This window comes from Homo sapiens, chromosome 15 (assembly GCF_000001405.40).
Source record: "Homo sapiens chromosome 15, GRCh38.p14 Primary Assembly".
Lineage (NCBI taxonomy): Eukaryota > Metazoa > Chordata > Mammalia > Primates > Hominidae > Homo > Homo sapiens.
Genome location: NC_000015.10, coordinates 57,513,928 through 57,538,744, shown reverse-complemented (window position 1 = coordinate 57,538,744; position 24,817 = coordinate 57,513,928). Strand labels below are relative to the sequence as shown.

The 24,817-nt window shown below is 44.6% G+C and overlaps 1 protein-coding gene across 22 annotated transcripts in view, besides 1 other annotated feature; it reads right to left on the bottom strand.

Annotated features, from left to right (window-relative positions):
- The window catches only part of CGNL1 (cingulin like 1), a 174,213-nt gene that overhangs the window by 11,973 nt on the left and 137,423 nt on the right, over positions 1-24,817 (bottom strand). For all 22 annotated transcript variants that reach the window (XM_047433184.1, XM_047433186.1, XM_011522121.3 and 19 more), the window contains 6 exons: positions 21,759-21,965; positions 20,248-20,352; positions 15,104-15,256; positions 13,994-14,164; positions 9,930-10,091; positions 6,966-7,055 (listed from right to left, as the gene is read on the bottom strand). In XM_047433184.1, the coding sequence (XP_047289140.1) occupies positions 6,966-7,055; positions 9,930-10,091; positions 13,994-14,164; positions 15,104-15,256; positions 20,248-20,352; positions 21,759-21,965 (888 nt within the window). The remainder of the gene's footprint in view (positions 1-6,965; positions 7,056-9,929; positions 10,092-13,993; positions 14,165-15,103; positions 15,257-20,247; positions 20,353-21,758; positions 21,966-24,817) is intronic.
- Positions 10,872-11,455: an enhancer, noted in NCBI's record as "OCT4-NANOG hESC enhancer chr15:57819488-57820071 (GRCh37/hg19 assembly coordinates)". NCBI's record gives its function as "activates a minimal SCP1, AML or CMV promoter by ChIP-STARR-seq in naive H9 embryonic stem cells {active_cell/tissue: H9 hESC(naive)}" and the evidence as "EXISTENCE:reporter gene assay evidence [ECO:0000049][PMID:30033119]".

Here is a 24,817-nt window from a genome sequence, read left to right as displayed (position 1 = left end):
GAGGGATTCCAGGATGGCCAAGTGGTCACGCAGCCCTGGGCCCAGCCTGGGGGTTCAGGACAAATCCTGCCACATAAAGCAGCAGCCACTGGCCACAGTCTTGCACCCTCAGTGCCAATGTCTGAAAAATCTGGATCCCACCAGGAAACAGACTTCCCTGTGCAGAGCAGCACTTAGCATGGCAGCATCCCCAAGGGTCCCCACAGGTTCAAGACCTCCCTGGAGGGCCCCTGGAGAGCCCCAGGATAATGGTGACTCTCCAAAGGGGGGCAAAAAAAGGAATTATTTATCCCCCACCATAGCCCCTTAAAAGATGGCTATTAAAATGGAAATGTAAAATAAATCAGAGTGAAGAACAGGAAGGAATAAATGTGTAGCCATAAAACTTAACAGTTACTGTGACCTGAGCAGGCAGTCCATTTCCTTCAGTCTTTGCAAACCCAGGCTTTTGGCAAACATAATAGGCTTCCTTTTGTTCTTCAAAGGACAGCCTGACATGAAATTCTAAAGTAAATCCACCATGTGGAGCCTTATACAAGAAATACTATGTGGTATTATGGACAATGCCCCAAGAAGGATGGGTTTCAACATAAACCCAGAAGTATCCTATGTGTCCCTGCTGTTAGCTGTCCTCAGTGCAGTGATCCCAGGACTAGGCCCCTTGACTTGGGAATATCGTAAATCAAATTCTTACCCTGAGCCCACACTGGCACCTGCCCTGGGGCGGGGGGTGGCGGGGAGGAGGGAAAAACCTATGGCTTGGCTGAGCCAGCCTCCTGGACCAGAGAAGAGTAAACTCAAGGCTGGGAAAGTATTTCTTTATATAAGCTTAGTGCTTTCTATGTTGTTTACCCTTCAACTACATTAAATAGCACAAACAAAAACTTTCCAGTCAAATTAAAAACAGAACAGGAGCTGAAGGCAAAAGTATATCACAGCTGGATTGAAAGAATGCTAAGCCCTGAGCATTTTGATCAGAAATCACAGTATCAGATTCCAGTGGGTTTTATGTCAGAGATACCCATGACCTGAGCCAGCTCTCAGAATTGTAAGTAGCTGCCTTTTGGGTTAATGGAAAGCCAGAGCTATTTGTGATGGCCAATAACAATACTGAACCCCATCACCTGTGTTTATCATTGGGCTGTAAAGAGGTCGGCAAGCCCACACTCCTGGCTGGCATTAAAAATAATAACCACAAAAAAGGAAAATTGTTATTAATCAACTGTACACACTGGGTTTTTGAGCAGCTGATACAATAAAAGGCAGTTCTGAGATTAGGAGCATTTCAATTAAAAAAAAAAAGAAGAAGAAAACCCCCCTCTGATCTTTCACTCACAACTGCAAAGACGACGGTCCCATTTAGCAGGGGTGGCACCCCTGATGCTGACTGAGGAGCAGTTCCCGAAAGTGACTGTAGGAGCCCACAACTCTATCACTGGCATTTAATCCTGCAGTTGCCGAGGCAACAAGGCAGCCTTGCTCAGTCCCTGGAGAGACCATGAAGCCACCCAAAGCTCGAGTTGGTATTTTTCCTGCCTGCCAGCTGCCTGGGCTTGATGAGTCATCTCTCCACTGGGCTGGGTCATCATGGTCTCCATAGCCAAGAGAACGCCTTCCCATGTAGGCCCAGCTCTGCTGTGAAGCATTTGCAGCAGTGCTTATCGAGCCAGCACAACAGCCTATTGGCCTTTAATTTAAAGCATATGAAGCCGGACCTCTCTTTGGCTATTTGAATCCTGCACTCATAAAGAATCAGGAGAGGATCAGCTGAACTTAACTCCTCACCCATTTTAAGAAACACCACTTTTAACTTGGGAATGGAGACCCAAATGCATTTGAAGGAGTGGTCTTTAAGACCATGACATAGTCTCATTCAGGGACGATGGGAATAGGCAAGAGGCTTTGGAGTCAAACTGTGACTCCACCTCCTACAAACTGTGTGACCCTATGTAGTCACTTCACCTTGAAAGCCCTGAAAACAACAAGAAAGTGAGTGAGGCACCCAGCACAGTGCCTAGCACTTAGGGAATCATTGGTAAGGATGGCAATTGTCATAAATGGAAACATGGTTTTTGGAGGACGGAAAGGAAAAAGGATTACTCTGGATTTAAACAGACCAAACGCCAGCAACTTCAACTTCTTTCAACTTATAAGCCAATCAGAAACCTTTCTGTATATGATGGGACTATACTTGGGTGAGAAAACAGATACTCCTTACTTCTATTTCATAAAGAAGATATCATTTTATCAACTCCAAATCCATCCCTTCTCCTTCATAGCAGTCAGACTTGAAAACAAAGTCCAAACATCCAAGAGGTTTGAAAAACGTTTCTCTCTCAATTAGGATTTCCTGAATCCATCACTCTGAATAATATTGTCCTGAGCATGTAAAGGAAGCCCTTAGAAAGGCTGTGATATGGTTTGGCTGTGTCCTCACCCAAATCTCATCTTGAATTATAGCTCCCATAATCCCCACGTGTTGTGGGAGGGACCCAGTGGGAGGTAACTGAATCACGGGGGTAGGTTTTTCCTGTGCTGTTCTCATAATAGTGAATAAGTCTCATGAGATCTAATGGTTTTATAAAGGGCAGTTCCCCTACACACACTCTTTTGCCTGCCGCCATGTAAGACATGCCTTTGCTCCTCCTTTGCCTTCTGCCATGATTGTGAGGCCTCCCCAGCCATGCTGAACTGTGAGTCCATTAAACCTCTTTCCTCTATAAATTATCCAGTCTCAGGTATGTCCTTATAGCAGTGTGAGAACGAACTAATACAGGCTGGGAACTTATAAACAACATGGCCAGCATTTAGTGAGTGCCAAATGTATGCATAAGAGAAAGAAAGAATGGAGGCATGGAAAGGGTCAAATACACCATCTTACACAGCCTTCCTTGTCCTCTGCCCTGGTAACAGCACAGTTGAGGCCTCCTCTCAGTCGCCCCTTCTCCAGTCCTCACCCCCACCCCTGGCGCATGAGTCTTCTAGAACACAGTGTATGCTTCACTATTGTGCTCAATCGCCTTCGATGGCTGCCCACTGCCTTCACAATAGAGCCATTCAACACCCTCAGTCTGCCTCTTCAAACTTATCTCCTTTCATTTCCTATGGAAACTGGAAATCTGATTGACCCACACTCATCCATTCATCCATTCATTGCTCCTCAAAATGCTGTATAGGTCCCTACCTCCCAGTCTTTGTTCACACCATTCCTTCTATCTAGAATCCCATTCCCAATCCCCTTGGTTTATTCACGTCTTACCCTTTCTTTAGAGCTGACCCCAGGTCCCCACCCTCTTTCCAGTAATTCTTCCACACTCACTCTTGCAACAATGGTCTTTCCCTCATTAGCTGCTTGAATCTTTTACTTGGCATTTAGTATCCACTGTTTTCTATTGTTAGTTATCAATTTTTTAGGTCTGACCCATCTCCTCAAACAAACTGTAGCAACTCAAGGTCAGGGACCATTTCTGGTCCTCTTGGAGCTTTACTGCAATGCCATGCACACAGCAGGTATTCATCATATTTTGCAGGCACGGGTAGATAGAGCACTGCCTTGGAAATTGAGACCTAAGCCCAGCTCTGCAGTCAATTGCCTGCATGACTGTGGTCAAATCACCAGGTGACTCTGGGCCTCAAATCTCTCATCCATTACAGTGAAGTGGGGAGAGTTGGACTCTGAGGTCCTTGCCAGATCTAACAGTCTATGAGAGGGGTTGGCCATTCACTAATATTGCTGGAAAACCTTTTTTGTGGCTTATTCACTTAAGTCCCATCACTAAGACTAGTGGGAGATGTTTGGGGGAAGCAAAGATTCCGCAAAGGAGCTTGTGAGAATTCAGAGTTTAAGGAGAAAGCTGTTAAGTTTGAACCTTTTAATTTAAAGAGAACAAGATCACCAAACTAAAATATCCCATGCATTCTCTTTTCAGTGCCTAGTAGCAGTTTGCTAGGAAGGCAGGGCCGATGTTATTACTTGGGTTCAAGATAACAAGCACCCTTTCCTGTTTTTAGGAGATGTCCTTGTTAAGGAGATGTCATAAGGTCAGCATTTGATGGGGGAGAGGAAAAGCGGCCTTACGTTTTGAAGTTTCCCTTTTCTGGCTTTGATTTCAGCAGGAAAGCACAGGCACACGGCCCTAGAAGTTAATCTAAGTGGACCAGAAGAGCTCAGAATCAGGGCCCATCTGTCTATACCCAAGGCCCTCCCCAGAGAGCCTTCATTTCAAGAGGCAGGAAATAAGCCTTGGCTCAACCTCAACTTTGAATGAGAATGAGATGCTTTCCAGGGAGGCGGGTATTTGGCCCACCCATTTCTCTGCCCTCCCTCACAAGTCAGGAGGCAGCAAAGGCCAGAAGAGAAGCTCTCAGAACACAATCAGGAGACATCAGCGTTTCTGTTTCATTGGCTTACCAATTCCTACGTCCATGTGAATGTGCTCAATTTCTCCACTTATAACAAACACCAGGCTATACCCTCCCTATCTCAGATGATGCAGTGAGAAGAAAGAAAACAGAAGAGGGAAAGAGAGCTGGTAGGGAAAGAGGTTATAGACATTGGTGGAACTCATCTTTTTAGGCATGTAACTCAGATACAGGGAGAGAATTGGGGGAAAGTAAAGGGTGAGTCAGACGCTTCTGGATGTATGAAACCTTCTTGCAGCATTGCAATGTTAGAATTCAGAAGAGCCTTCAGAGATCACCTGGATCAATGACTTCCTTTTGATAGATTTTAGAGACTGAGCTCAGAGAGGCTGGGACTCTCCCAGAGGTAAATGAGGCTAATGCAGGAGCCAGGACTGGGACTGCCAGCCCACTGCTCTCCCCAGCAGACCAAGTGAGTTCCCTTAACTTCCTCCCTGGACTTACTTCAAGTCCTTGGTTCCCTTAACTTCCCCCCTAAACTGACATCAAGTTCTTGGCTTAGTGGAAATATTTTTAGCCTTGACCACATCATGGACAGCAGTTCTATTCCCCATGATCCAAGTGCTCAGTTGAAAGGAAAAAGAAGTGTCCAGAGCAATTCTGGGACCAGATCTCTGCATGATCAGTTCTGTCAGTGTTGGGCTGTCAGCTGAGCTAAGGGAAGCAGACACGTTCTGGTTCAATGTCTGTGTTTTGTTTCTGATATAAACATGGAACTGAAGGTCTGTTGTAACGGCCTCATTACTGATAGGATGACAGGCTTTCCCACTATTCCTCTTAGCATAAGCCACAAGAAGCGCTGGCAAAACAAATCCATGGTCACATCCTTTGTCATTGTGAATGTTTAGCGGATCCTGACATGTCTGGGGGGAACGTCGCTACTTAGCCAGGCTGGCAGGGGCTCATCACAAAACAGCTTTTATTCCAGTGAGAGAACTTAGAAAACAAAGTCTTCAGTAACAACCCTGGCGGGCAGTAGAGGAGATGTCAAGGTTGAGCTCTCTATCTGGGCCTCTGATTTTCAGGAAGGTCCCTCTCTAAACCTGTGCAGCTCTGGCCTGATAAGCTGTTGCAGCTCCAGATAAATCATAGCCTGGGAACACGCAGACAGAACCCACTCTCCATGAGGAGGGTGGAGGGAACACAGCTGGGTTGCAACTTTCTTCACTCTCAGGAGCAAAGGAGCATGAGTATCCCACTTGTTTGCAAAGAAATCTATCAACAGGGACCTAAAAGAATACGGAAAAGCAGCCAGGGATTCACGTTCTACTTTGAGCAGGGCTGCCTGCTCATAAGGTGCTATCCCCAAGCTCTGGAACTTCCAATTCTTGGTCACCCTGAACCGAGGAAAGGGAAGTCCATGTGAATAAGCAGAAGAGACCAGAGGAAAGTGCCCTTTGGAATAGGGAAGATTTGAAAAAGAAGACAAAAACATAAGGCAGAAAGTGGAAGTTTCCCAAGTGGTTATGAATAACAATCTATTGGCCATAGAGGGAAAAGTGCCTTTTAGGGCTGAGGCTCTAAGGGTCATTAGTTCAACAAGCAAGTGTGTGGAATGTGGTAGCCAGCACCATGTTAGGTGCAACAGAAAGTAGGCTCTACGATGCAGCCTTTTCCTTGACAAGTTAATTAGCAGTACACACACCTATGAAGCATTCACGTTCAATAACAGTACTTTCCAAGTGAATGCTTTTTGCAGTTTTGGAAGGAGTTTCACTTACATTTGATCCTTATGACAACACTGTGAGACAATCGGGGAGAGTTATGCTCGTGTTATAGATGACGGAACTAATTTCTCAAGCGAAGTGCAGATAATACATGCAGTATTATCCAAAGGCTTTTGACCTCTGTTTCCATTTTTTAATTAAGTGAAGGTTCAGAGGGGCTTTGAGATAGACTGGGAGTGGCAAGTGAGATCTGGGGAGAGCAGTGAGATCACGAGGAAACAGAGGTACTGTTAACTAGTTTCTGTGTCCCCAGTGCATGCCCAAACCACTTGACAGATAAAATATGGAAGCATTTTGGGAAGAGGATTCAGAACACTCAGCAGCAGTTTCAAAGATAATTAATTTGTATTCACTAGTCTCAGCCCTTCATTTACAAGACACCTGTGGATACATGTAGAAACTTCTAATGATAGAATGTGCTTTTAATGACAACTTACCCAGTTGTACGCCTAGAGCCTGGAAATGGTGCTAGACGAACTGTATATCAACATTTAGAAAGCCCTTCACTCTTTCTTGACTAGCATTGGCACTTTCTTAATGAAAAAGATGAAATCAAAACCTAAAAACCTTGAAATGATGCTAGGTATAGATCAGGAAATAATCTGACCAAGGAGTAAAATTTAAAATCTAAAATACAAGTAATCTGGTCAAAGTCTCTCCTAGAAGCTCACTATGGTGATGACTATTCAATCTTCCATCAATTTCTAGATGGCATGAATTTTTCTCTCCTGGACTTAACTGAAGCCCCAGGATTAACCCCTCATGTTCCTTTTTCACACAGGACAATCCACGCATCATTCACCTATAGAATAGTACCTGTTCCCTGCTCCTACTGATCCTCTCAGACAGCAAATCTGAGTTGTTTCTCTCTTCTTCCAGTTCCATCTCCAGTTGAGACACCTTGTCCTAAGAAGGAAATCACAAACACAGTTGACTTAACTTGCACTGACCGGGATTAACAGCAAAGGCTCCCCCACAGAGAAACAATCCTAAGGGCAAATGAGAGCTAACTACCATTAGAGTTTGGAAAAACAATATATCTATTTCTTACATTGCCCAAAGCAGATATTTCTTAAACTATGTGTTTCATGACTTGTAATGTAAAATGTGTAACATAAAATGTTTATGTAGAAAACACATAAAAGAAGAAAAAACATTATCCCAAACCCTAATGCAAACACTAAGGATATTTGAGCATGTTTCTGTCAAGTCTCTGTTTCTCCCTGTGAATCAATAACTTTAAACAGATCTACCCAAGCCAGTGCCTGTTAAAAGACAATGTGGAAAAAACACTTGACGCTCCGGACAATCTTTTGTCTGCAAGAGCCTTGCAGGAGTCAATCTACAGCAGCCTTCTAAGCCTTCTAAGGAACAGCATGCATTTGCACGATGCACTCCCAAACCTGCATTGGATTAACCAAAAGACAGTGCTAACCAATTCTGTTAAACTCATCATCACTTCAGAATAATAATTGGTGGTTTCTTTGTTGGCTCCTAATCTAACCTAATTGAGTGTTCAGAGAAAAACATTTCAAAGCAGCTTTGTGTATGAAGAAAAGAGGCTTCTAACACAAACCACCCCACTTACAACTGGGGGTTGTCAGCCTTGAGCACGTGTTTCTCCTGTCACCAGCCAATCTGTCATAGGTCTAAGTAAACTCAGAGCCACAAATGCTAAAAAGCAATTGGCATTCCAAGTTTTAAATGTGAACCTGCAGCATTTGTATATAAATATTGTCTCTGCAATTGCCAAAGTGGATTGACAAGCAATGGGCACCTCTATCCCTAAATATTATTCTATTTATCACAATAAAACACCCAGGATTCTTGTGAGTGAGTGACTGTCTGTGAACGGCCCCCAGGTAGTGATCAAAACCTATAGGGAAGTTAGAAAACCCTCACCCAGGAGCCAAGCATCTCTAAGGCCAACTTGGATTGGAGCTGGGCCCTGCACCGAAGCCTCCTGTTTATTCAGTGGTTCCTGATGCCTCCAAGACCAGTCTCACTATAGTCAGACATCACTCAGGATCCACAAGAGCTGCATTTACATACAACAGCCACCTGAGTTTACAGAAAATGTCCGTCGTTAGGAGAGCTCTTGAGTCTTGAAAATTAATTTAAGTGCTAGTGAAGGAGCAGGCAAGACGTAGTCACAGCAAGACGGTCCTGCTTGCCGCCTCTTAGGGGACGAAACACCCCTCAAGCGCATCTCATGGTAGCAGGGTCTTCAGAGCCATTCATTTTGTAATTAATGAGAAAATAGCTAAATATTGCAAAGGGGCAAATGAAGCTTAGCTATGCCACTCCTTCTAGACCTAAGTCGGCCAAAGGAAACGATCTCTTTAGTCAGGATATAGCAGTGGAAATGACCTAACAACCCAATCACCAGCTAAAAGCACCTCTTTATAAGACTGTCTTCTTGCCTAAAAGCCATACTGCACAGAACCCAGCAGGAGTGTTAAGGGTGCCGGCCAGGGCCATTACTCCAAAGGTTCTTCCTCCACTGCCTGAAGGGGCTTTAGCTTGTTTTGAGCCAGGTTGTTTAAGGCCCTAGAATAATCAGTTTCTAGTTAAGTGGGTTGACCTTAGCTTGCCTTAGAATTACCTCCCCTAAAGAGATCAGAGCCAGGACATTAGCAAAATGTACAGCAGTCCAACAAAAGAGCAATAAAACTGTAATCAGGTTATTCTAGTCTCTAAAAGAGGCCCATCTAATAAAATCTTCAATGACTTAAACAACACTCCCTAGATATAAACAGCTACTAAGTCCCCTGGACGTTTTGAAAATTATTTCTGTTTATTTGCAAAGTTGAATCAGGAATTCCATTGATTTTGAATTTAAGCCATCTCTCCATGGCCTTGAGCACTGTCTTTTATCAAAACTTTGACAATTTTAACTTCTCTGAAAAGACTGAGACTATTTTTTAGTGTCTCTCTCAATTCCATTTTTTCAGTGTCTCTCCCTCTCTCTAAATTCTACTGGGGCGTGTGTGTGTGTGTGTGTGTGTGTGTGTGTGTGTGTGTGTGTGTGTGTGTTTCTGGGGGTTAGTTTTGCTCCTAAGAATTATTCTTTTTTAAAAGTTCAGATGGAGTGATTCTAAGGTTCTTCTTGTCAACCTCAGTGAACTGTTCACACTTAGATTCTGTTACTTCATTTACATTTTTCTAATATGTGGTGTTTTCAGCTTGTGACTAGATCACCCCCATCTGGTGAGTGCATTCAGCACTTTCTGATATGCTGTCTTGGACTATGTACATACTATGTATACCACAGTAAATTGAGCCACAGTGTGCTGCGAGCTCTGGCAAAGCCCAATAACCTCTAAGGGAAAATGGGCCAGAAACAGGAAGCAAGAATGGAGAATGTGGTGTGGCAAATGAAGAATGATGATTCCTAGGAGGCTCCTCTCTGGACATGCAGCAGTCTGGTTCCTTCTAGTTAGCTGGAAGCACTGCCCCAAAGAACAAACAGAAAAGGAACTATCTGTGCCCTTAGGCAAAATCACCTAATGTCCCTGAGAATCTGTTCCATTTCCTCTCAAGACAATGAGAATGTTAGACTAATTTATATCCATCATTCCTTCTAGCTCTGATGTCCTGAGTCTATAAATGACTGGCCCCTTCCTTCAATCAAGAAATAACCTCACTACACCCAGCTGTGGGAGAGAATAAAAATCCAAGACTTCCCAAAGGCTGAGCTGAGAGCAAAGAGGCTGCTTCTCTCGTGGCCCAGCCTCGCTCTCTGCAGGTCCCCCAGCTCACACTGTACGGCCCACAGACCTCCATCTGCTTGACCAGCCTGCTGCGGTCATCTTTGAGGTGACTCTTGGCTTCCAGCTCATACTCCAGGTCCTTCAGCGTCTGCTCCAGAAGCTGCCTTTTTGTGAGTGCTTCATCCTGAGCTCTCTGGTAGTCCCGTAACTCTTCCTCCATCAGACGCATCTAGGAGGAGAGACAGCTGGGATGGTTTTCTGGGGTGCATCAAGAGCATAGAGACCTCCACAGACAGTGCACAGGCTGACCCCACCAAAAGGAAGATCAGCTGGACTCCCACAATATGGGAGATCAGAAGACCTTGAGCAAGTCCTACCTCCCTCTGGGCCTTACTTTCCTTTTTGTAAAAAGAGGAGGTTTTCCAGCTACAGGCAGCAACCTATTAGGTTACAAATTCTATTTGGTAGATATTGACCAGCATTTTTTAATTAAATAGAACAGAAAAAAATAGCAGAGTATTAGCAAATATTGATTTGCAAATCTTTTGTGCTAGACATTCATATATTTGTGCAGATGCGTGTATTCCTGGGTTGCAAGATATAGTTTTTTTTTGTCTTTTTTTTTTGAGATGGAGTCTTGCTTTGTTGCCCAGGCTGGTGTGCAGTGGTGCGATCTTGGCTAACTGCAGCCTCCATCTCCTGAGTTCAAACAATTCTCCTGCCTCAGCCTCCCAAGTAGCTGGGATTACAGGTGCATGCCACCACACTGAGCTAATTTTTGTATTTTTAGTACAGATGGAGCTTCACCATGGTGGCCAGGCTGGTCTCGAACTTCTCAACTCAGGTGATGCCCGCCTCAGTCTCCCAAAGTATTGGGATTGCAGGCATGAGCCACCGTGCTCAGCTGAATGCAAAATGTCGTTTTTACTAGGTCATGTTAAAACCTCTCGAGAGCCCCTTAACTAAATACATGTTTCCCAGGGGGTAATTTATTGTCTACCTGTATCACTGTCACCTCAAAAGAGGTTTCAACTCAGTGAAAAAGAACACACAACTGAATTAATGACCGCAAAGCAACCTACTGGCAAAAAACCTAACAACATACACAGGCACATTAGGGAAAGCCACTGCTTTGTAGAAGAACATGATTAGCTAGCTTAATTTATAATGTTGTTGTTTTTTCCATCCACAAGGTGGCACTCAACTAACAGCTTTGAAGAAAGCGCAACAGACAAAACAGCTTGATTCACAAGGGCCAGTCAGTGTCTTGAACTTCTCTAGAAGCTCCCTGGGGAGACCAGCCAGCTCAGGGCACAGTAGGTCTTCCTTAAACATCTGTGTGGGCTGATCTGGTGAAGCCGCAGGCTGTCTGCTTTGTTCTAAGTGTCCTACCCTCTTGGAGTTGGTACTAGTATTGAGTAGAGCTAGTCTCATGAATAGAATAATACACCAGGGGGTCTGTTTCCTTCAGAGTATATGAAAGTGAATGGCCATCTCCGCTACAGAATGCCACCCTTCTGCAGTGTCTGGCACAGAAGAGTTGGAAAGCCCCAGTAGTTGAGGACAGCTTTGGAGAACCCGTGGAAAAGCTTGAGGAAATGTGTTCTTCTCTGGGAGGCTGACAGGAGCACTGGGCATTTCTAAGAGAACAGCCTAGCCTTGAAGATGACATCTCCAGATGAAGACCCACATCTGGTTTTAGTGGTTACCATGACAGAAAGTACATGAAAGCACAGAATGAAAATCACCCCATGGAAAACAGTGATGGGACATTTTCTGGATACAGAGGATGTGCTATATTCCAGAGCGTTAAAAAAACAAAAAACAAAAACGCTCTATGACTCAGTTTCCTCATTCACAAAATTGGGATAATTATAAAATCAGCCTTCTAAAGCTATTATGAGAATCAAATGAGATGATACCCAGAAAGAACATGAGTGTGAGGGTCAGAAAGAATGACAGGCAAATGTGCAGCCTGCGTTTCCTTCCTGTCCCCCTTCCCAATGCCCAGCGTGCCCTCCTCCACTGCTCAGCACAGCCCCACCTTCCACACCCAGCAGGTCCCTCCTAACACCCGGTAAGGGCCCCATCATACTCAGAGTCCTTGACGAGGGCCGGCAGAAGAGATTAACTAGCATGGTGTCTGTGAACAATGTATCCTGAATCATAAGCAAGCAAACAACTTTTGAACTTCCTAGTGCTACCTTTAAGTAGTTAAAATCACCCTTTGCTAAAAGAGATGTAGAAAATAAACTGAACAATGGTAATCACTAAGTCTCGATTCTCTAAAGATCATGCTTATCAGAGGTAGAATGGGTGAAAAATGCCTATTTCTCTCAAAGCAAAGGCAGCCACTATTACAGCACTTAGAACGGACTCCTGTAGCTTTTGGGGTTTTTTTTTAACCAAGATCTTCAACCAGCTCAATCAAAACACAAGCAGAGGGGCAGTGAACAGAGTTGAGCCTGAGTTTTTTAAGGATCCAGAGAGACCTTGGCTTGTTAATTCACTTTTGTTTTAAACAACTCCATCACTCTACCAACTTAGTCAAGGGTGGTATCTCACTGCAGTTTCCCTGCAGAATGATGAGGTGTCCATGTCTGTTGCTCACATGGAAACAGTGTCTCACAGGGCTGCATCAGTGAGAAAAATCCAGGAAGGGCCATCTTTATTTTCCTTGCAAGGAATCCTTTTTTTTTTTTGTTTTGGAAGGACTGCTCTTTTATAAACAATACTGGTCTCCATCTGGCCTTAACTAGTCTCTCTGGACCTCAGTTTCCTTATCTAACTAGAGGATCTCTATGTTTCTTTCCAACCCAAGGATTCTATCATAAAAATCATTATATAAAACGCAACGGGAAGTACTTTTCAGGGGTCATTGTGACACTGTGATCTTCTGAAGTCAAATCAGACCAGGTGCTTGTTGGTGTTCTGGCAGATACCTGAATCCTTCTGCCTCTGTGCTGTAGTAATGAATGTGATTTTTTTTTTTTTAATACCAAAGAGAACTGTGATGTCAGTGCGCTAATTTCACTGCTTACTTGGAGTCCTGTATCACATAACCCTGAGCCAAAGGGGATCCATTATCAGGGGCCTTTCAAGAGTGTTCTAGAAGCCTGCAATAAATATCTATTGTTCTTTTACACAGTTTCAGCACTGACTCATGGGTGACTTTTCTTTGATCATCAAAGAAATTAAAGTTTGTTTTTTAAAGAAAAAAATGTTTTCCTGTGGAATCTTGGTGCTCTCGGCACTGTTCATGAAAAATAAGCCCCTAAAATTAAAGAAAAGGAAATTAATATTTATGAAGTGTCCGGGATGTACAGACTCGCTGCTACACAGTCTCACATATTAACTCATTTAATTAAGTCACTAATATTTGGTATATTTTTAAAGAGGTAGAAACATATGCTCAGAAAACTGGGGTTAAGTTGCTCAAGGTGACCCAGTTGGCAAGAGGTATAGCTAGAAATCAGCATAGGCTGTGCTTACATTTTGAAGCCTCCGGCTTTCCATTAAAACAATCAAAAACATCCCCTTTCTTTTTCTCAGTTCTTGAGAGGCCAAGCCTGAAGGGAGCTAGCATTTGGGTTTCTTTGCTCAATTATTCTTAAATATAAAACGAATGTTTTAATCATTTCAATACTCATAAATTCCTGAGGATTTCTTTTACTCGCCATTATTGTTGTTGTGAAACTCTTGTCCGCCACCCTCATGCCAATAAAAGTCTGTATTTTCAAAAATCAATGGCCAAAAAACAGTCAGTTACTGTAATCCCTATTCTAGGATTAAATTAAAACATGAAAGCATATAAATAAATCATCTGGACACAGCTGGGCACATCATGGCTGCTCCATAAATGGCAGCTAAACATTTTAGGCAAAAAATTATAGATTCATCAAGAAAATGGTCAGGTTAAAGCTGTGTCCATTTAGCCTCACAGTCCGCCGGTGGGTCCTTTGTGCTCCAGAATGCCATTTGCCCACGGAACCCATCCAGAAGGTGAAGAATGAAGAGTCAAGCACCAAAGCTGTCTCACGAATCTACCCCCAAGTCCCTCACAGAAGACTTTCAGGGCAAAGGATACTTTGAATAAGGGATAAAGGAAGAACTTATCTGGCCAGGCATTACCTCATCCTGCATTTTCATGGCTGTCAGTCGGGACTTTTCTGCCTCCAGCGTTTTCTCCTTCAACTGTCTTTGCATTTCTGCGAGCTCCCTGCGGTTTTTCTCCTTATACTCATCCAGCTGGTTCTGGAGCTCCAGGGTTGAGGTACGGGAGGCCTCAACAATGTCTGCCATCTAGAAGAAGTGACACGGGTGTGAGCCCACCCTGGGATGCTCTGAGACCAGGGTCTGGGTCCCATTTCAACACACAGCACATCTCCTCTTCTCCCTTTCTTCTATGGCCCCCTCAAAGATGGCCCAGCACCTGATCCTGAGTCAGCCAGGTGTGGGCACCTGTGACTTGGAAGCAGCATGGAGGAGTGAGCAGGCACGTCCTTTGGAGCCAGGCACACAGCCTCAGGGTCCTAGGGCTGCTGTGCCACTTACCAGTACATGACTGGGGCACGTCGTTAACCTCTCTGGGCCCTGGCCATGTCCACACTGGAAACACCGAAATCATATCTACCTTACAGGGTTGTTGTCAGAATTAGTATCCACAGATACAGATAAAATTTTATCAGCAGATACAGATAAAATTCTAGTTAGAAACAAAATAGTTAGTAAAGTGCCTGGTACATAATACATGTCAGAAAACAGCAGACACTCGTGTCAACTCCCAGAATACAGAAAGCCTGCCAGCTTTGTGCCTTTACCCCTTCTGGGTATGGTGGGGCAGACATAAAGAGAAAGAGCAGCAGCTACTGAGCTCTGAAGCTGCCTTTCACACTCCTGGACAAGCAATAGAGATGCAAAGGTAGAGACTCTGCACAGAGATGTCGATTCTGATTCACTCAACATTGGTTCCATCTGCACTGACACACAGCCTTCTTCTACTAACTGTTAAGAGGTGATTCTGGTGCCCAGAATCCAGAGGGTACTGGCATTAATGTTTTCTAGACCAGTGTCTATCTTTTCAACAAATCCAAAGAGCTGCCTCTTGGGATCTGCAAATCCCTGACACTTTTGTGCTTAGACCTACTGCAGGTTTCCCAGGCTTTCACCAGACCCTCAGAGGGGACTGGGTCCAACAAAGACATCTGGCCCTACTTCCTCTTTCCTCCTCCAGCCCCTCACCTCCTTCTGCAGTTTCTCAATGGTTTTGCCCAGGTGCCACCGCTCATTCTCCATCTCGTTCTTCAACCTTCTTAGCTGCTCCTTCTGCTCACTCTCCTCTTTGAGCTTCTCAGACAACTGCTTCTGCTCCTGGGTAGTCTGACTCAGATTTCCCTGCAAATGGCAGGGAAAGGACAGTGCTGTCACCTACTAACCAGGTAGCCACAGGAACGGGTGGCACAGGGAACTTCATAGTCACACTGCAAAGCAATCAGATCTGTTAAATCCGTGATGAGGAAGAAGATCAAAATAAAGCTGTCAGAGATAGAAGGGCATTGTTGGTTCTGAAATTCAAGGACCAAATAGGAAAGTTGACTTACCCAAAAACATCCACAGGAATGAAGGGGCAGACAAACAACGTGCTACAGAAATACATGGCCAAGGCTGCTGGTGGTGGGAATTCAGGATGGTGTCTGAAAACCTGAATGTTCATGCTTGAAATTCGAGGTCAAGTTATACATTACAACAATCTAAACCTACTTGGCAATTTATATCCTGTGACACACAGCATCACACCTAATGTTCCAGTATTTACTATGCTATGCAGATGGTTCTTACAGTTAGAATAACTAAAAATGAATCGCTAAGAGAACACTACCCCACAGAACAAAGGTCCATTTGGGTAAAGGCAGTTGTCATCAACAAAATCCATGAATTGGACTCAGACACAGGCAAAAAGGAATTTGGAAACACACAGGTTGGTGAACTTGATGAACAGAAGGTGTTAAATGGAAGAGACACTACTCAGATAAAATACTAGCCAGGTAGGTGGTTGTTGATTGAATCAGCACCAAATACTAGTGCCTACCATAAAATACAACTATCTTGAGTGCAATACTCCCCTTAGTTCCCCTGAGGCTCTCATCTCACAAAGTCACACAGACTTATGTTCTTTATGTAAACAACATGCAACTCCAGAATAAAATCCTAAAATATTATAGGAAAGTTATGGTGGCTTCTTTAAATGGCTAAGCATTAGGGCCATAGGTACAAGGATAATAAGAAGACGCACAACTCGGAACAGAGCAACCTGACTCAAACACAGACTGGATCATCTCGAAAACGTTGTCAGGCACCGAGGGCTGACTGGGCCACTACAGAAACAGCTCAGGGCCTACCCAGTCTTGTGTCCCTGCAGTGACTGCACAAGAACAATGGTTTATATTTGTACAGTGCTTAACAGTTTACAAGCTGCTGCCACAGGCAGTAACTCAGGATCTTGAAAACATTCCAAATCACTTCGGACTCTCCTGGTTTGCAGAGCATAGGAACAGATCTGCTCTGCCAACCATGTGATGTGGGGCTAAAACACGACCCATAGCGGCCTTCCGGTCCCTGGGCTCTGTTGGGCTGGCTGCACTTTGAGAAGCAGCCAACGTGGCCGACCTGCTGAAGTTAATTGCTGCAGAGAACCAAGGTTAACAAAAGCTGCTGGGGAAAAGATGGTGGCAAAAAGAAAGGTAATCAGAAGTTCAGTGTGGGGGGGAATTAGCAGTAGTGTGCTCCAGCACAGCTGCTGCTGGGCACCCACCAGAAGCAGGGTCAAACCTGGGGTTTCTGTTGATCGATGATTTAGCAGTGTTGGGGCAAAGGGTGAGGAGGAGTTATAGAACCAGTGAGGTATGGTATGGGACAAAACCCTCAAAACACATGTCCCAAAAAACGTCAATCTGTGAAAACAACAAATACAGAGGGCCCCCAATGGCTTCCTGTAGAACCTTCAGGATCCAACTCAACCCCCTCCCCAAAGGAATCCCCCAGCCTTTCTCCTCCTCTTAGACCCCAATCCCAAGGGCTCCAGGCAGCAGACAAGCCAACCCAGCTCTACTCAGCCTCCATGTGGTTCGTGCATGCATTTCTGCTCCACTCTTGGCTCAGGCAGGGCTGCCTGGCTCTTTCTCCTGAACCACAAAAGACACCACAGACTCACCACTCTGGGCCTAGGGCCTGCCAACACCTGCCACCCCAGCACACACACATTGCCTAGAAGAATAGATTTGCTACATTATTTTTAAATTATTTCTTATATGCTTGCCTCTTTTGCAAGGTAGTAAGCTCCGTAAAGGCAAGGGAGAGACTTTCTGTCTATCTGGGTATGTTCACTATTAGGCATATGATAAACACTTAGCTATTAAAAATGAATGCCTATCCCCAAAAGTGATCCCAAGGCTTCTTATGTTAGAATCACCAAGCAAGGATGGGGTGTCTGTACTTAAAATATAGATTCTAGCTTTTTCTGATGGAATCACAATTTTTCTTAGCATGGGGCCCATAATCATTTGCATTTGAAAGCTCCCCAGATAATTCTAACATGTACTAAGGTTTAGAAACACTGTTTAGAACAACGGTCTTCCTCCTCCATAATTCAAGACATATGTTCCAATAGGTCACTGCTGAGAAAACGTCCCAAATTCACATGAAAAAAAGCAAACATGGCAACTTTGCATTTTTCCGACCCTTCATGTGGACAGTATCAGGAGTGAAACGCTCTGTAGCTACAGAGACTCTATTTCCGAGGCCAGGAATACAAGCTCATCAATGAATAATGAGATGAAAATTTAGGGAAAATATATCAGGTTGGAGAATCTGAGGCGCAACACGGGTAGATGTAGGGTGAGTGTCCTTGAGCTCAGGGACCATTATCTGTCAACAGACGCAGATTTTACCCTATGATTGAGGTCCCAATTGGCTCATATTAATGACAAACAAGTTGCAGGTGAGCCTATGGGTGTCAAGGAATGGGCAGCTTAACCAGAAGGAAGTTGGTCTTCTTGGAGTCCCTGCCACTCAGTGTCTGTGGGCTGCAACAGTGCAAGCCTTGGGCCCTTTTTCCTTGGTTGTCTCAATACTCAAAAGTCCAATGGGGTGGGAGGGAAAGCCCTAGGAATAATGTATGCACTGTTATCCCCTCCTGAAGGAAAGAACTGTGGTTTCTCCAGCAAAGGCTTCTTTACTTCCCCATCTGCAGAAGGCACTTTAAAATAGAAACATAGATGCCTTGCCTTAAGTGCAGTTCCAGTAGCCCTAGACAGCAACACAGTCCTGAAGCAAGCGGTAGGGCATTGAGCTAACCAAGAACAGCATCTTTATGCCCCTCTGCTACTTTTTAACTGAGTCATGGTAAATCAGACATAAATTTACCAGCGTCTTCAGCTACTATGTAAAGAAATCTATTTATCATACGTGAAGATGCAATAGACCAATAGCACAAAGACTGAGAAAAACACCAGTTACTTTTTTCTTTCCTCAAGGACTAAGGTCCCTTTGAGTTGTCAGCTTCAAGGACGAGAGGTGCATAGAAAGAGTAACCAAACAAAAGGAGCTGACTATCTGGTTTCCAATTTTAAAGAAAACAAAGTATTTCAGAGCGATGGTGCTTTTTTCATGGCATTATTTTTAAGACCAGATAATTCAGGTAAAGAGAGTGAAACTGTCAGGCCCATTTTTAATTCTTGCCAGCTGCACTGCCAGTGGCTAACACGGCCACACACTGCATGAAGCACTCTCACCATCCCCACACCACTGGGAAAACAGGCCTCAACAAAAGTAACATGTCAGGGATAATTTCCAAGACAAGGCTAGAGATCCACAGATGGGGGTGGGTGGGGATTACATTAAGATCTTCAGGCCCCAAGGCCATCACCTGTTCTGTGCACTGAATTCACTATGAGCGCAGATACCCAGCAGGGGAACCACTTCCGTATGTGTGAAAAGTTCCTGTTTGACCAAAGGAAAGGTTCTGAGAGACCCATAGCTGCACCGGGGACTTGGTGTGGACATACCATGAAGGTAGAGATGTTTATCCCTATAGAGTACAAATATGTTTCCTTTCTTTCTGCCCCCCAACCAGCTCACAAATTTAAACCCCACACTCTGGCAGCCAGGTTGGGTAACAGTAACCAACCTAAGCTTTAAACAGCAGCACAGCAAAAGTGCCATCCACACAAAATCAACCCCACAAGATTTTGTAATGAAGATCTAGATTTAAAGAAATAAAAAAAATCCAAAGTGAAGGCAGTCAGACATTGAACTCAGGAAAAATTGGGACTTTACTATACGCAAACACGAGTTTTGTCCCAAGAGTAGGAGAAGGCACAGGCTTCTGATTTTGGGGGAGAGTCCCCAAGCTAGGCTGACCTGTGGGAATCCTTCCTCTCCTCTATACTCTAGGAGATGAAGCTGAACACCCTCCAGGAAAGCTGCAACAAGGCATTTACAAATCTGAACCTGACTCGGCTCTTAACACTTTTAATGCCCCCACTTCACCTATCCCTGACTACAAGTGGGTCCGGAATGGAAAACTTTAACAACCTTCCTCTTAGACAACTCTCAAAAACACTGGCTTCTACCTCCTCAGAAACTCACCTGAGATACTTAAGCAGCATCCCGAGAGCCAATAGGAGAAGGACACACCTGCATCACCCGGAGGTCACTGTGCAAAGTCAATCAGAACGGCAGTACAGGCCTTTCTTGAGAATGTACTTCAAATGGGAAAATCTAATTTTCTAAGAACCTACTGATTTTGAATAGCGATAGCTATCCAGTTTCAAGGAAATGACTTCCTCCTGCCTCTCTGAATAGCCATCCTGAAGGAATGTACTCTATAGAGTGCATTTGCCCACAGGAGAAAGGAAATTGGCTTCTGCCAGAAAGCAGACTCCACACCGCCTCGGAGGCCAGTCCTGCCGGCCTTCTCACACCACTCATATTTTATCTTTGGAAAGCTGTCAAGCTCTTTAACGTCTAAACGGAGGGCTCTCCGCCTTCGCATTACTGACATTTGGGGCCTGATCATTCTTTGCAGTGGGGGCTGTCCTGTGCTTCATAGGATGTTTAACAGCATCCCTATCCCTGTTTTCCACCCACGAGGCGCCAGTAGCATCTCTCCAGTTGTGACAACCAAAATTGTCTTCAGGCATTACCAAATCCCCCCCAGTTGAGAATCGCTGGTCTAGACGGATAGTTCAAATAACTGAGTGGTTATTATGGGTGAAAGGGAGCTACATGGAAAGAGAGGGCCAAGGACAATCTCCACACATCCCTCTGGTGTTGCGTCTCTATGCATTCTTCTTGAGGGAGTAATGACAACAGCCCTTGGTGTTTACCTGAGCAGCCTCCAGTTCATTCTCCAGGGCCCTTCTGGCTGACACAGCTTCTTTTTCTTCCTTTCTGGCGTGCACAAGGGCCTCCTCTAACTGTCGTATTTCTCCCTACAATGAAACACTGGGTCAGTGTGCACTTAGATGTGTGCTGTACCTATGAAACTGACTCAATGGAATTAAATGAACACCGAAGACACCCATAGATATGGCAGTGGCTATGGTCACAATGCACCTGTCACAGACCCAAGGTGGCACACAACAGCCGTGTTCTTGGATGCGTGTGTTTATCTGCAGTTCCAGTTCTCAGGCAGGTGTGAACATCCACATTATCTCGGGTGATTTTTTATTTTTTATTTTTTTAGAGACAGGGTCTCACTATATTGCTCTGGCTGGTCATGAACTCCTGGGCTCAAGTGATCCTCCCTCCCACCTCTCAGCCTCCCAAGTAGCTGGAATTACAGGCATGAGCCACCATGCCCAGCTGGGGTATTTTTTTTTTTTTTTAATAGAAATATCTGGCCTTATTCCTGGAGATCTGAAAACAGTAGGTATTGAATGGACCCCCACACACACAGTTTTATAAAAGGTATCCAGGTGGTCCTGATGGATGACTGCTATGCTTTGAATGTGTCCCCCAAAAAGCATGTGTTGAAAGTTTAATTGCCATTGTAATGATATGAAAAGGTGGGACCTTTAGGGGGTGATGAGGCCATGAGGGCTCTGCCCTTATGAATGGGCTCAAACTGTCATCACAGGAGTAGGTTCCTGGTCAATGGACAAGTGTGGCCCCCTCTGGCCAGTCAGTTCCCCACTCCACCTCTGCCCTTCTGCCATGTGATGCCATTCACACTTCAACACAGAAGGACGGCCCTCGCTAGAGGCTGGCACCTTAATATTAGACTTCTCAGCCTCCAGAACTGTGAGAAATACATTTCTATTTTTCCTTAATTACCCCAGGGTGGTATTCCATGATAGCAGCACAGGACAGACTAAGGCAGTGACCACGTGTGTCTCCTCTTTCATTGTCAGCTGCCCTTTCCTACTGCTGAGAGTGTGCCATCTCTCAGTCACAGCTTCCCACTGCTAGAGGTCTGGCCAACCAGATAATTGGCTTGTTAAAATCAGTGTCACTTCAAAAACATCAACAATGAGTTAAAAAAGAATAAATAGTCTTGAGTGAGAATCGGTCTAATGGTGGTGTTAAGACAGCCCTTTCAGGTGGATGCCTGTGTGAAGCCATGGAAGGCTGGGTATGTCTGGTATCTGGGTGTGTGGGGATTCCTGTGCCTAGACCTGTGTTCCCGCCTGACCTCACCGTCCCTGTTCCCTGGCCTCCCTGTCATGCCACTCCCAGGGGAACAAAGAAATGGCTTGCAGAGAGGATGTATTCACTATTGCCTTGACCTTTCCTACTACATCATGACAATAAATCCCTTCCCCACTTTTGAAATCACTTACACAGGAAAGAAGGAGCAGCAGCTGCCAAAGCTGGGCCTGGGCCCAGCGAGCCTCACCTCGTACTTCTTCAGCGTTTCCTTCGCCTTGGCTTCATCGCCTTTCAGGTCCTCGATCTGCCTTTGAAGCTGAGCAACTCTCCGCTCCAGCTCTTCGCTTCTTCCCTGCAGCTTCTCATTCTCCTCCTGCAGAAGCTTCACGCGCATTTCAGTCCCCGCCTGGTCTTGCTCTGAAGTGTTGCTCCTGCTCGCCAAGACCTCGACATTCTGTTAAAAACACAAAGCAAATGAACAAGGAGACTGATGTCAAGGAGCTGTCCCCAGGCTGGAAGAATGGCTGGCATTTATGAAAAACCCATTGTGCCCACTTAGCCAGGCCCTGTGCTGAGCCAGGGGTCGGCAAACGACAGCCTGCAGGCCAAACCCAGCCCCTCACCTGTTTTGAAAAGCGCAGTGTTATTGGAACATAGCCACGCCCTTCCATTTGCAGACTGTCTGTGGCTGCTTTCAAGCTACAACAGCAGGGCCGAGTGGTTGCAACAGAAACCCCAAAGCCTATGGTGTCACAAAGCCTAAAATGTTGACTCTCTGGCTCTTCATAGAAAAAGTTTGCCAACCCTTGCCTGTGTTAAGATCTTTACACGGGATTTCGACCTTTTAACAATTCCAGAAGGCGGGTGCTATTCTTATCGCCATCTTAAATATGAGGAAACTGACACTTGGATAGTTTAAGTAACTTGTCCAAGATCACTTAGGAGGAACTGCATTCGGGCAGGCTGAATCCAGAACCTGTCCTCATAACCCTCGCTTTCTGACATGTCCACTTCCCTGCCCCATTTGCATGGGCAGGGTCTCTTTTTCTTTCTTTTTTTTTTTTTTTTTTTTTTTGAGACAGAGTCTCGCTCTGTCCCCCAGGCTGGAGTGCAGTGGCGCGATGTCGGCTCACTGCAAGCTCCGCCTCCTGGGTTCACACCATTCTCCTGCTTCAGCCTCCCGAGTAGCTGGGACTACAGGCGCCCGCCACCACGCCTGGCTAATTTTTTTATATTTTTAGTAGAGACGGGGTTTCACCATGTTAGCCAGGATGGTCTCGATCTCCTGAGCTCATCATCTGTCTGCCTCGGCCTCCCAAAGTGCTGGGATTACAGGTGTGAGCCACCACACCCGGCCCAGGGTCTTTAATAGAAGCTCTTGAGGAAGGGCAGCTTCGGAGTACAGATTTTTTTCATGTCCAATATAAAACAGAAATTTAAATTAGCTTAAATTAGGATACAGTTCACAGTGTAAGCTCTAGGTATGCTGCACACAATCCACAACAGAAAGGAATGACAATCTCAGGGTGGTTATTGTTGATTCCAGAGGTCACAGGGGCTTTGTATTCTTCGGTTTAGCAATTTGAAGTGATGGGAAATGGTCCTGCCCCACATTCCACCTCTCCAGGCAGATCTCTTACCTGTCCTCCATTTCTCCACTACTACAAAGATGCCAATATCAGCAAATCTCATGCCTACAACACAATGCTACAGACGCCTGCGATAAAAGAAAGGCCCAGGGAGGACAAGGTTAGGCTTTTAAAGGCTGTATCACCGACCATGTGGGAGAAGTATCTGCTAGAACTGCTCACTTATATAGCCTGTTGGAAAGATCTTTACTTCTCTTAACAGTACAGTAAGCTTATTATCCTGAACCTAACCAGTTAGAGAATTTCAGGAACCAGAGCATCCTTTCATGGCCCAAAGGTTTAATTCTATACAACAGAGAAAGCCCATCGGAGCCAAGCAACTGAGTTAGAATGAAGTTAGCTGGCGTTGCTAGGAGAAAACTAAGGTGTCAGACAGCTGAGACTTCTCAGGTCTATCAGGATATCGTCTCCTAATGAAACCAGCAAGAGGACATGTCACAAAAATATACAGAGGAGAAATAAAGTGTGGTTGAAAACTTGAGGAAGGATCTAAAGAATCTAGTAACTGGTCAGACCAGGGAAAGAAAAAGTCTAGATTGCCCACTTCTGCCCTAACTCTCCTATTAACATGTGAGACAAAGTTACAGTTATCAAGACAGGGCAGTACTGGCATGAGGGAAGGCATATAAATCAATGAAACAGAATTGGGAGTTCAGACATAAACCCCTACATGTATAGCCAACTGCTTTTCAACAAGGGTGCCAAGACAATTCAATGGGGGAAAGAATAGCCTTCAACAAATGGTGCCACTACAACTGGATATCCACATGAAAAAGAAATGAAGTTAGACATCTTCCTCATACCATACACAAAAGTTAACTCAAAATGGATCATAGGCCCAAATGTAGGATCTAAAACTATAAAACTCTTAAAACACAGAAACAAGTATTTGTGACCTTGGGTTAGGCAAAGGCTACTTAGCTACAACACCAAAAGTACAAGTGACAAAAGAACGAACAGATAAATTAAGCTTCTTCAAAATTTAAAACTTTTGTGCTGCAAATGATGCCACCAAGAAAGTCAAAAGACAACGACCAGAATGAAAGGAAATAAAAGTCATATATCTAATGAAGGACTCATATCCAGAATATATAAATGATTCTTTAACTCAGTAACAAAAAGACTTAAAAATGGGGCCAGGTGCGGTGGGTTACGTCATAGTCTCTGCACTTTAAGAGGCCCAGGCAGGCGGATCACTTGTGGTCAGAAGTTCAAGACCAGCCTGGCCAACATGATAAAACCCCATCTCTACTAAAAATACAAAAATCAGCCAGGTGTGGTGGTGCACACCTGTAATCCCAGCTAATTGGGATGCTGAGGCGAGAGAATTGTTTGAACTCGGGAGGCAGAGATTGCAGTGAGCCGAGATGGGACCACTGCACTCCAACTTGGGTGACAGAGCAAGACTCCATCTCAAAAAATAAATAAATAAACAATGGGGAAAGGATCCGAACAGTATATAAAATCCAACATGCATATGAAAACATATTCAACATCATTAGTCATTAGGGAAATGCAAATTAAAACCATAATGAGATACCACTCCACATCCACTAGGATAGCTATAATAAAAAAGAAAGATAATAACAAGTATTGGGGAGAGTTTAGAGGAATTAGACCACTTATACATTGCTGGTAGGAATGTAAAATGGTGCAG